Raw genomic sequence first — 12776 nt, forward strand, 5'->3', positions numbered from 1 at the left:
TGTACGAGATGATCAAACCTCATGACCACATGCAGCTGGCAGCTTAAAGGATCACAATAAGTTAGCATAAGACATCCAGTGCCCAACTCATAGTGGATATCCAGCCTCTTTCCAGGGTCTCTATCCATTTGGATACCAGCAGGATCAGAGGCCAGTGGGGTCTTTTATAAAGAAAAGAAAAGAAAAAAAGAAAAAAAAGAGAGAAAAGAAGGGAAGGGAAGGGAAGGGAGGGGAGGGAAGGGAACGGAAAGGAAAGGAGAAAAGAAAGGAATGGAAGGGAAGGGAAGGGGGAGGGAAGGAGAAGGGAAGGGAAAGAGGAGGGAAAGGAAAGGGGGAGGGAGGGAGAAGGGGGAGGGAAGGGGGAGGGAAGGAGAAGGGAAGGGGGAGGGAAGGGGGAGGGAAGGAGAGGCGAAGGAGAAAGGAAGGTGAAGGGAAGGGAAAAGAAAAGAAAAAAAAGAAAAGAAAAGAGAAAAGACCTGACTTATGTTCCCGCCCAGATGGCTCTGTTGTCAGGAGAGGGGAGCATCTTAGCTCAGTGCATAGAAGTTACTCAAGAATTTCTACAAGACTAAAACTTATTTTAAAATCATGAAGGACTGTTGAATTTGTAGAAATATTCCATCTGTGTTCCAAGGATGCACGCTTCAGGGTTTGCAGAGGGTTGCAACTGTCTTCCTGTGCCACAAAAGACTCTAAAGATGCTGAGATGTTTCATTTGAAGAAGGACCAGTCCTCCAGAAATTAGGATCCCACTGTAAAAAGGCAATGCTTGAAGTGTTGAATGGAGAAGACTTGGAATCAGAAAAGACTGACATTGAAGCTTGGCTCTTCCAAGTTGGTTGGTCTCTGATGAGCCATGCATGTTTTGTGCCTCAGTTTCCCCCTCTATCAAACAGAGGGACTGTGATTATATCTGCTCTCACTCCCACCTTGTGAGGCGCTAATGATACAACATGCCTGGTGGGTAACAAGATGCATGAACTGTAGCACATATTCTGCAAAGGGAGCTTCTCTGAGTTTCCAAGTTTTGATTGAAATCGTTTCCCACATCCTCACTTTTCATGCTAATGTGGGATTTTTTTTTAAATTTTATCATTATTATACTTTAAGTTTTAGGGTACATGTGCACAACGTGCAAGTTTGTTACATATGTATACATGTGCCATGTTGGTGTGCTGCACCCATTAAGTCATCATTTAGCATTAGGTATATCTCCTAAAGCTGTCCCTCCCCCCATTCCCCCACCCCACAACAGTCCCTGGTGTGTGATGTTCCCCTTCCTGTGTCCATGTGTTCTCATTGTTCAATTCCCACCTATGAGTGAGAACATGTGGTGTTTGGTTTTTTGTCCTTGCGATAGTTTGCTGAGAATGATGGTTTCCAGCTTCATCCATGTCCCTACAAAGGACATGAACTCATCATTTTTTATGGCTGCATAGTATTCCATGGTGTATATGTGCCACATTTTCTTAATCCAGTCTATCATTGTTGGACATTTGGGTTGGTTCCAAGTCTTTGCTACTGTGAATAGTGCTGCAGTAAACATGTGTGCATGTGTCTTTATAGCAGCATGATTTATAATCCTTTGGGTATATACCCAGTAATGGGATGGCTGGGTCAAATGATATTTCTAGTTCTAGATCCCTGAGGAATCGCCACACTGACTCCCACAATGGGGAACTAGTTTACAGTCCCACCAACAGTGTAAAAGTGTTCCTATTTCTCCACATCCTCTCCAGCACCTGTTGTTTCCTGACTTTTTAGTGATTGCCATTCTAACTGGTGTGAGATGATATCTCATTGTGGTTTCCATTTGCATTTCTCTGATGGCCAGTGATGACGAGCATTTTTTCATATGTTTTTTGGCTGCATAAATGTCTTCTTTTGAGAAGTGTCTGTTCATATCCTTTGCCCACTTTTTGATGGGATTGTTTGTTTTTTTCTTGTAAATTTGTTTGAGTTCATTGTAGATTCTGGATATTAGCCCTTTGTCAGATGAGTAGATTGCAAAAATTTTCTCCCATTCTGTAGGTTGCCTGTTCACTCTGATGGTAGTTTCTTTTGCTGTGCAGAAGCTCTTTAGTTTAATTAGATCCCATTTGTCAATTTTGGCTTTTGTAATATGGGATGTTTTGACTGTGGGTTGTTTTGACTGCTTGAATGATGGAGAATTCACACTTTAGAAAAAAATGATGCATAGCTCAAACACAGGAAGACCTATTGTCAATAAATATATAAATACTATACAGTAGGGTCAATCTTAAATCCCTGCCCATTGGGAAGAGACCATGAGGTAAACTTTCTTTTTTTTTTTTTTTTTTTTTTTTGAGATGGAGTCTCAGTCTGTCACCCAGGCTGGAGTGCAGTGGTGTGATCTCAGCTCACTGCAACCTCTGCCTCCATGGTTCAAGCTATTCTCCTGTCTCAGCCTCCTGAGTAGCTGGGATTACAGGCACCTGCCACCACGCCTGGCTAATTTTTATATTTTTAGTAGAGATGGGGTTTCAGCCATTTGCCCAGGCTGCTCTTGAACTCCTGACCTCAGGGGATCCACCCACCTTGGCCTCCCAAAGTGCTGGGATTACAGGCATGAGCCACTGCGCCTGGCCATGAGATAAACTCATCCTGGGGTCTACACTCAATGTCCAGATTCAACAGAGAGCTCCTGGCTGGCCCATGAGCCGTGTCAACTTCTAACACAGCATTCGGTATCTCACAGTGTGACTTTTTTCCTTGATCCAACCATGAAGACATCTCAGTCTCTCCACAACTATTCAAGACTCACACTTGAAATTCTAAGGTTTCCTTGATGTTTAAAGAGAGTCTGTTTATTGCTATTTCTAACTTCTATTGCATAGATCTGTGCAATGCTGAAATTTAGGGTACTTTTCTCTCCTCTGCTATAATCTGGAGTAGCCTTACAAAATCTGAGTTGTAGCTACCTGGTGCGGCACTCATAGAGAGTGGGGCATGAAATCTTCCCTCTCTCTTTGCATTGCTGGTTTGCATTATTGGGGGTATTAGATGACCCTGGCTTTTGGCAAGAGGAGTCTAGATGGAGGTTTGGTGCTAACTGACACAGTTTCTTGCAGCAGATAGAAATAATCAAACCTGGTTTTCTCTGTGTTAGTATCTCACACACACTTCCACTCCAAATACATCCCTGATGCTGATTAACCTTTGTGTTTATAATTGTATGTCGTCTACAAGGTCCCTTGTAAACCTTAAAGCATGACAAATAGAGGTTACTATATGTTCATGGATTGTCTTTCTTTTAGGGGGGAAGGGATAGGGTCTCACTCTGTCATCCATGCTAGACTGCAGTGGCACAGTCATAGTTCACTGTAAGCTCAAACTTCTGGACTTAGGCAGTAATCCCAGTTCAGTCTCCCAGGTAGCTGGGACTACAGGCATGTACCACCATGCCAAGCTATTTTTTTCTAAGTTTTTGTAGATATGCAGTCTTGCTATGTTGTCAAGTCTAGTCTTGAACTCCTGGCCTCAAGCAATCCTCCTGCCTTGGCATCCCAAGGTGCTGGAATTATAAGTGTGAGCCACAGTGCTTGGCTGGAACGTAATTTTCTTTTTTTCTTTCTTTCTTTCTTCTTTGAGACAGTCTCACTCTGTCGCCCAGGCTGGAGTGCAGTGGTGTGATCTCAGCTCACTGCAACCTCCACCTACCGGGTCAAGCGATTCTTATGCCTCAGCCTCCCAAGTAGCTAGGGTTACAGGCATGTGCCAACATGCCTGGCTAATTTTTGTATTTTTAGTAGAGATGGGGTTTCGCCATGTTAGCCATGCTGGTCTCAAACTCCTGACCTCAGGTGATCCGCCTGCCTCGGCCTCCCAAAGTGCTGGGATTACAGGCATGAGTCACCACGGAACGTAATTTTTAACAATAGCCTTCGGTAATCCAATTTAGTTGTTCCCAGTGAATTTCTCCTACATCATTACATTTTTTTCTGGGTAGAGTTTACTGAAGAAGGTCTTCTTCATGGCGACCTTCAGCTCCTTGTTCCTGAGGCTGAAGATGATGGGGCTGAGGAAGGGTGTGAGGACCGTGTAGGTGATGCCCATCAAGGTGTCTCCTTCCAGAGACTGGGGACTTTTGGGCTTCAGGTAAATGACGGAGGCAAAGCCATAGTGCACGACCACCACAGTGAGGTGAGAGGCACAGGTGGAGAAGGCCTTGTTCCGACCTTCAGCAGAAGGGATCTTCAAGATGGCGGCCACGATGAAGGCATAGGAGAGGAGGATGAGGAGAAAACAGCCCAGCAGGGCCGTGATACACACCAAGCCCACGCCTTTGGCCACCACCAGCACATCGTCTCCACAGGCCAACTTCAACAGAGGTGGCACATGGCAAGCAAAATGGTGGATCTCCTTGTGTCCACAGAAGGCGAGGTGGAAAATGGCCGAGGTCACCACCATCCCCATGACCAAGCCACCAGCCCAGGAGCAGCCCACCAGGCAGGCGCAGCCCCGCGGGCTCATGAGCACGTTGTAGCGCAGGGGGTGGCAGATGGCCACGTAGCGGTCGTAGCCCATGACGGTGAGCAGGAAGGAGTGGGTGAAGCCGAAGCTGAAGGAGAAGAACATCTGACTGGCACAGGCCAGGAAGGCGATGGAGCGCTGGGTGGACAGCAGGTCGGCCAGCATGCGCGGGATGATGGCCACGGTGTAGAGGATCTCGGAGACGGAGAGGGCGCACAGGAAGAGGTACATGGGCGTGTGGAGGCTGCGCTCGCTCCAGACGGTGGCCATGATGAGCAGGTTGCCCAGCAGCGTGAACAGGTACATCAGCAGGAACAGCAGGAAGAGCATCAGCTGGAGGTGGGGGAAGACAGAGAAGCCGACGAGGATGAATTGGGTCACTGTGGAGTGATTGGCTCTCTGCATGGAGGCTGTGCCTGGGGTGAGATGTGACAGGGAGATGTCAGTTACTGCATGAAGAAAAGTTCTCAGCCTTCCCCATACCTGGATTTGCCCAAGGGACTGCTCTTGATAAATGGTTTGGTTCCATTCCCACTCTGTACCTCCTATAATTTAATACTCTCGTCAACCTAGTGAGAACGGTACTATTTTTTCAACCCCCTTTTGAAGTACCTTGAGCATAGTCATTGAGAATATTGAAATGTAGAGCTTGCTCAAGGCCAAGCTGTTGAAACGGTAGATCAGAGACTGGAACCCATAGCTGGGCTGGCTCTAAAACCTGTACCCTTCACTATTTCTCTATGTTGCCCCCTGCCCCCAAACGAAAATGCTCCAGGCTGGCATGGTGGTTCACATCTGTAATCCCAGCACTTTGGAGGCTAAGGGGGAAGGACGGCTTGAGCCCAAGAGTTTGAGGTTGCAGCAAGCTATGATGGCACCACTGTACTCCAGCCTGGGTGACAGAGCTAGACTCTATCTCTTAAAGAAAGAAGAAAATGGCCGGGCACGGTGGCTCACGCCTATAATCCCAACACTTTGGGAGGCTGAGGCAGGCGGATCACGAGGTCAAGAGATGGAGGCCAGCCTGGCCAAAATGGTGAAACCCCATCTCTACTAAAAATATAAAAATTAGTCGGGCATGGTGGCACGCACCTGTAGTCCCAGCTCTTCGGGAGGCAGAGACAGGAGAATCTCTTGAACCTGGGAGGCGGAGGTTGCAGTAAGCCGAGATGGCGCCACTGGACTCCACCCTGGCGACAGAGCGAGTCTCTGTCTCAAAAAAAAAAAAAATAAATAAATAAAAAGAAGAAGAAGAAAAACATATTCCTTTGCTGGAACTTCCATTCATTCCTTCTCTGCCCTCCTACTCCCTTCTGATAAATCACGTTCATCCCCCAGCTCCAGGTATCATGAGACGTTCCCACCCATGGCTGCAACTCCTTGGAACAGGGCGCGTCTCTAAATCTGAACCAACCAGACTTCCTCTGGGGTTATCCATGTAGGAAAGCAGAGGCAGGAGACTGTGTTGCTCTAAGGAAGGAGCCAGAAATCATGCTTTGGTTGTTTTCCAGCTCCCATGAGGTATGCCTCTATGTTCTGAGGCAATGAAATGTAGCCATCAGACAGAAAGAAGGGCGTGGGAATCAGCAGGGCTCAGTTCAAATCCCTCCTCTGGCTGTTGTGTAATGATTATTTATTTATTTATTTATTTATGTATTTATTTATTTATTTTTGTAGAGACAGAGTTTCATTCTGTTCCCCAGACTGGAGTGCAATGGTGCAATCATAGTTCACTGCAACCTCAAACTCCTGGATTCAAGCAATCTTCCTACCTCAGCCTCCCAAGTAGCTGGGACTACAGGCACACACCACCTCACCCAGCTAATGTTTTATTTTTTATTATAGAGATGGCATCTTGCTATGTTGCCCAGGCTGGTCTGGAACTCCACCCCTCAAGTCATCCTCCTGCCTGGGATTCCCAAAGTGCTGGAATTACAGAAGTGAGCCACTGCATCTGGCCAATATTTTGTAAAGTTGAGCAGATTCCTTTATCTCTCTGTACCTCCCTACCTCAAAGGGTTGTTGTGGGAAGGAAATGAGCTTTTCTTAAGTGACCTGGCATGCAGTAGATGCTACATATGATAATTAATACAGTAAATGAGTGACTGTACATGGTCTTTGCTCAGTAACTTTAATTTCATGAGATTTCTATGTGTCTTTATGAAACAATTAAATATATTCAATTTTTTTTTTTTCAAAAGACAGGGTCTGGCTCTGTCACCCAGGCTGGAGTGCAGTGGCACAATTATCATAGCTCACTGCAGCCTTCGGCTCCTGGGCTTAAGCGATCTTCCCTTCTCAGCCCCCTTAAATAGCTGGGACTACAGGCATGCACCACCATGCTTAGTTAATCTCTTTTTTAAAAAATTTGGCAATGTGTGACCAGGTGCAGTGGCTCACGCCTATAATCCCAGCACTTTGGGAGGCCAAGGTGGGCAGATCACTTGAGATCAGGAGTTCGAGACCAGCCTGGGCAACATGGTGAAACCCTGCCTCTACTAAAAATACAAAAATTAGCCAGGCATGGTGGCACAGGCCTGTGGTCCCAGCTACTCAAGAGGCTGAGTTAGGAGAATCGCTTGATCTGGGAGATGGAGGTTGCAGTGAGCCAAGATCACACCACTGCACTCCAGGCTGGGTGACAGAGCAAGACTCCTTCTCAAAAAAAAAAAAAAAAAAAGGAGTAAACTACCACTCTGCTTTCTGTTTCTACGGATGTGTCTGTTCTGAACATTTTACATAAATGGAATCATACGAGATGGGGCCTTTTGTGTCTCATTTCTTTCACTGAACATAATGTTTTAGGGTTCATTTGCATTGTAGCATGCAATTGTAACAGTATTAAAACACCACAGCATGCGTCTGAGCTTTATTCCTGTTTATGGCTGAACGATTTTCCATTTTATGAATATGCGTCATCTTTTCATGGACATGAGGGTTGTGCCCCACCTGTTGGCCTTCGTGAACAATGCTGCAATGAAAATGCTTGTAGCATTTGGAACCTATCAGTGGTTTCCAGGGGCTGGGGTGAGGGGAGAATGGGGAGTGACTGCTAATAGATACGGTGTTTCCTTTTGGGCTAATAAAAAATTATTACCTTTGTCTGGAACTAGGCAAAGGTGGTGTTAGTGCAACAGCATAAATGTTCTTGATGCCACTGAATTGTATACTTTTAAGTGTTTATGTGGAAATCCAGTAATAAAAGGCAAATGCAGTGGGCTTTCTCAAAAATAAAATAAAATAAAAATAAAGAAATAAAATAAAATAAAAATAAAGAAAAGAAAATAAATAAATAAATAGGTAAATTTCAGGTTGTATGTATGTTATTACAATAAAAAGATCATTTTAGAAAGGGTAGTTCACTTCCCTTTAAGTGGGCTCAGGTCCTCAGTCAAGCCCTGGCAGATTTATAGTGAGAGATGAAGGAAGAACCAGCTCCTTTGGTGAGCAGAGGCTGCATTCTCCAAACATCGTTGGTCTCCAGAGTTTCTTGGTCTCTCTTCCTGGAATCACTCTCGTTTTGCCCCACTTCTGGGTCAGTACTTGCCCGTAGCTCCACAGAATAGTGGCCCCCACAGCACCACCATGTCCCGCCACTCTGAGATCTTAGAGGAGTAAATGACTTGGAAACAAGAACCTCCAAGAAGAGGCCAAATGGGCGAGATTGGTGCCCTGGGGTGGTGCTCACAAACCCTCTGTGGCTCCCCAGTGCCTAAGGCAGGGTTTCTCAACCTTGGGACTGTTGATATTTAGGGCCAGGTCATTCTTTCTGTGGGGAGCTGTTCTGTGTCTCATAACATGTTTAGTAGCATCCCTGGTCTCTGTCAACTCAATGCCAGCAGCCATTGCTCAGTCATGACAACCAAAAAATGTCTCCAGAAAACACCCATGTCTCCATGGGGCTCAAAGTCACCCCCAGTTGAGAACCGCTGATCCAGAGAGTGCAGCCGCAACTCCTTCACACCCTCCCTCTGCTGGGATCCCCATTCCTCCACTTCTTCACCTGGCAAACCCCTGTTTGTTGTTAAGATTCAGCTTAGATGTCACCTCTTCCATGCAGTCCTCCTGGATATTTCTTCCCAAGGCATATTAAGCCACCCATTCCTGGGTGCTTTCAAAATAATGATTCCCAGTTAATGGTAACAGCAGGCATTGGTTCAATTCTCGCTCTGTGCCTCCTACAAGTAACTTTAAAGCTCCTTGCTCATGACTTTGTTATGATGTTTGCCGTGATATGTCATGTTGGAGCTGTGTCTATCCCTGGAACCTGATTGTGAATCCCTGAAGCCAAGGACTGTTGTGTCTACAGCACCAGTGCTGTGTACTCAACAACAACACCGATGAGAGCAGCTGCCCTTTACTGGATATGTCCTACAGACCAGGCACTGCACTCACATCACTCATGCTATTCTTATTGAATATTTACCCCCACATTAGAAGTCATCTGCTCTGATCCCTATTTTACAGACAGGGAAACTGAAACCCACGACACATCACTTGCCTTAGGTGCCTTGAGTCTGAAGTGGGGGCCCAGGGTCTGAGCTTAGGTCTGATTGATCTCAAAGCCTGTCTTTTCCTAACCTCTTGTTATACTCACCAGTTGCTGGTGGCTGTTTCAAAGGCCACTAGGAGATGCTGCTTCCCCATGACTGACCGTCTACACACTCTTGTTCATATCAATTCAGATCACAAGAATCGACAGCGAGTGAGTGAACAAGGTGGGGGGAGAGAGAGAGAGAGAAAAGGAGGAGGAGGAGGAGGAGGAAAAGAAAGAAAAAAGGGAGGAAGAAAGAGAGGGAGGGAGGGAGGAAGGAAAGAAGGATAAAAGGAAGGAAGGATGGGGACTGCAGGAGGAAGGAAGGAGGGAGGGAGGGAAGGAGGAAGGAAGGAACGAAGGAAGGAAGGAAGGAGAGTGAGGGAGGAAAGGAGGAGAGTGAGGAAGGAAGAAAGGAGGGAGGGAGGCAGGAAGGAAGGAGAGTGAGGGAGGAAAGAAGGAGAGTGAGGAAGGAAGGAAGAAAGGGAGGGAGGGAGGCAGGAAGGAAGGAAGGAGAGTGAGGGAGGAAAGAAGGAGAGTGAGATAGGAAGAAACGAGGGAGGGAGGAATGGAGGGAGGAAGGAAGGGAGGGAGGGAGAAACCTTGAGAGGACAGGAGCCGATCACGTCTGTAGGAGGTAGCTGAGGGCTGCATGTAACACCGTCTGGAATGATGGGATGCAGAATGCAGCTAAAAGGGTAGTCCAGTCATTCTGGAAAAATCAAAACCATGGAGACAGCAAAAGATCAGTGGCTTCCAGGGGACCAGTGGGTGAGAGGGAGGGATGAATGGGTGGGGCACAGAGGGTTTTTAAGACAGTGTAACTATGTTGTGTGATACTGTCATGGTAGATACAGGACATTGTGCATTTGTCAAAACCCAGAGAATGTACAGCCCCAAGAGTGAACTCTAATGTAACTGTGGATTTCAGTCAATGACAATGTGTCAACACTGGTTCATCAGTTGTAACAGATTAATGGTAAAAAAAAAAAAAAATCCCAGTTGCTAATTATAGGGGAAATTGTGTGCAGGCGGAGAGAGGGTATATGGAGATTCTCTGCAGTATCTATCTGCTCTATGTTCTGTAAATCTGAAACTGCTCTTAAAATAAAGTCTATTAATTTTAAAAAGTAAAACAAAACCAAACCCATGGTGGATGTGGGACTAGGATAGCAGCGAGGAGGATTTAGAGCTTCTGGGCATTGATTCACCAGCAGAACATCCAGTGGGTTCCTCTGTAGGTAAAACAGAGAGAGAGAAAGGTAGGAAGAGAAAGAGAGAGATGGGGATAGAGAGAGAGGCAGGGGAAGAGAGAGAGAGAGAGAGAGAGAGAGGAGGCGAGGGAGAAACAGAGAGAGAGAGGTGGGGAGAGAAAGAAAGAGAGGTGGGGAGAGAGAAAGAGAGAGACAGAGAGGTGGAGACACAGAGAGATGTGGGGAAAGAGCACACACAGAGAGAGAGAGAGATGGAGGGAGAGAGAGAAGTGGGGAGATAGAGAGTGGGAGGTGGGGGGAGAGAGAGAGAGAAGGACAGGGAGAAAGACACAGAGAGAGGTGGGGAGAGAGAAGTGGGGAGAGAGACACAGAGAGTGTGGGAGGTGGGGAGAGAGAGGGTTGGGGAAAGAGAGAGAGAGACAGAGAGAAGGGTGGGGAGAGAGAGAGAAGTGGAGAGAGAGGGAGGTGGGAAGAGAAACAGAGAGAGGAAAGAGAGGTAGGGAGAAAGAGAGGACAGAGGGGAAAGAGAAGAAAAAGGTGAGAAGAAAGAGAGAGAGCAAGCAAGCCCACTGTCTAGCACTGACAGGAACACCCGGTGGGGCCAGTTCTCCACTCAGAGACTCTAGGGCTAAGCGTGGCTGTGGACAAGTCCTGCCACAGACATCCCTAGAGCAGGGTTTCCTGCCTTCAGCATTAGGGACGCTAGGGGCGAATCATTCTCTCTCAGAGGGGTGTCCTGTGCACTGCAGGAGACTGAGCAGCATTCTTGGTCTCCACCCACCAGATAGATACCAGCAGCACTCCCCAGTCACGACAATCAGAAATGTCCTTATACGTTGTCACGTGTCTCCTGGGTGACAGCATCACTCCATGGGCCAGGCCTGTCTTGTCTCTGAGACCCCATCTGGCCTTAACTCTCACCCATCCTGGCTCTCTCTTCTTAGTGAAGCTGTCTGGCCTCCCCTCTCTTCCACTTAAGCCACCACTTCCCTCTCTTTTCTCTCCATCTTCTCATCCCCAGCTCCTAACCATTCCCTCACCACCTGCTCCCATTGACGCCTCCCTTGTGTGTGTGTGTGTGTGTGTGTGTGTGTGTGTGTGAGAGAGAGAGAGAGAGAGAGAGAGAGAGAGAGAGAGAGAGAGAGAGAGAGAGACAGGGTATCCCTCTGTCACCCAGGCTGGAGTGCAGAGGCACAATCACAGCTCACTGCAGCCTTAACTTCCTGGGCTCAAGCAATCCTCCCACCTCAATCTCTGGAGTAGCTACAGGTGCCTGCCATTCCTGGCCAATTTTTGTATTTTTTTGTACAGACAGGGTCTCACTATGCTGCCCAGGCTGGCCTCAAACTCTTGGACTCAAGTGATCCTCCCACCTTGGCCTCCCAAAGTGCTGGGATTGCAGGCATGAGCCACTGCACCCGGCCCACCCTGATTCTTTACACCCTGGGGTGGTGGCTGGAGCTTCTGAACCCTGAATCCTCTTTCTCTCTTTTCTCCGCCTCTTCCCAATCCTTTTTCCGTAGACTTCTTGCCTGGACAGACCGAGAAGAGAGGTTAAAATCAAACCATCACCTTGGGTCACATTGAGCATTGGCTGTCTTCTCTCTGCACCTGTTACCTCCCCCATCCAAGGGACCTACCTCATGAGGCAGCAGGAGCTCTAAAGAAGGCAAGTCCTGGCTGGGCACGATGGCTCATGCCTGTAATCCCAGTACTTTGGGAAGCCGAGGCGGGTGGATCACGAGATCAGGAGTTCAAGACCAGCCTGTCCAGCATGGTGAAACCCCTGTCTCTACTAAAAATACAAAAAATTAGCCAGGCATGGTGGCACGCACCTGTAGTCCCAGCTACTCAGGAGGCTGAGGGAGAAGAATCGCTTGAACCTGGCAGGCGGAGGTTGCAGTGAGCCGAGATTGCGCCACTGCACTCCAGCCTGGGCTACAGAGCGAGATTCCGTCTCAAAAAAAAAAAAAAAAAAATAGAAGAAGGTAAGTCCTGCTAAGCAAACAGCACACTGACTAAGACGTGGTGAGTGGCCTCTGCCTGTCACCCACTGCCCTGTAGACTCACATTGCTAAAGGAGTAATATAAACAGGTGGTTTCTTGGAGTCCCTGGCAGGTGCTGGTTCCCCAGGTCTCTCCTGGTCAGGTGGCTGAGAGGGGAGGTGACTCACCTGGGACTCCAGGCATCTGCTTCTGCTTCATCCCAGTAGGAGGCTCTAGTTTGGAGTTTCTCCACAGGTGGGAGCTGACCAGGTGTGGGCTGCACCAAGCAGCCACACCAGCTGAGCCGGGGGCTTGACTGAGCCCAAATGCGATTATTTATCCCTCCCTGACTCCCTGCCCACCGGCTTCCCTCGCTGTGGTCCTACTGTCTCTGTCTCCGCTACAGGGATGCTGGGACCCCAGGGACCCTGCCAGAGAGGAGGCAACCTCAGGGAATCTGTATCCTCACTTTCCCATTCCCCCCGCCTGCCAGGGGTGAGTCAATTCCCTGAGCTTGTCAAGAGCTTGAGCAGAGTCTAGTGCTCTAC

General features: G+C 47.7%; 1 protein-coding gene across 1 annotated transcript; it reads right to left on the bottom strand.

Annotated features, from left to right (window-relative positions):
- Window positions 1-1410: 1410 nt before the first annotated feature.
- Window positions 1411-12526, bottom strand: OR10H1 (olfactory receptor family 10 subfamily H member 1). Its single transcript, NM_013940.4, has 4 exons — window positions 12417-12526; window positions 9092-9740; window positions 5587-5703; window positions 1411-4910 (listed from the first exon to the last, which is right to left on the bottom strand). The coding sequence occupies exon 4, from the start codon at window positions 4897-4899 to the stop codon at window positions 3943-3945; it is 957 nt and encodes a 318-aa protein (NP_039228.1). The 5' UTR covers window positions 4900-4910; window positions 5587-5703; window positions 9092-9740; window positions 12417-12526; the 3' UTR covers window positions 1411-3942.
- Window positions 12527-12776: the final 250 nt, after the last annotated feature.

This window comes from Homo sapiens, chromosome 19, assembly GCF_000001405.40.
Source record: "Homo sapiens chromosome 19, GRCh38.p14 Primary Assembly".
NCBI lineage: Eukaryota > Metazoa > Chordata > Mammalia > Primates > Hominidae > Homo > Homo sapiens.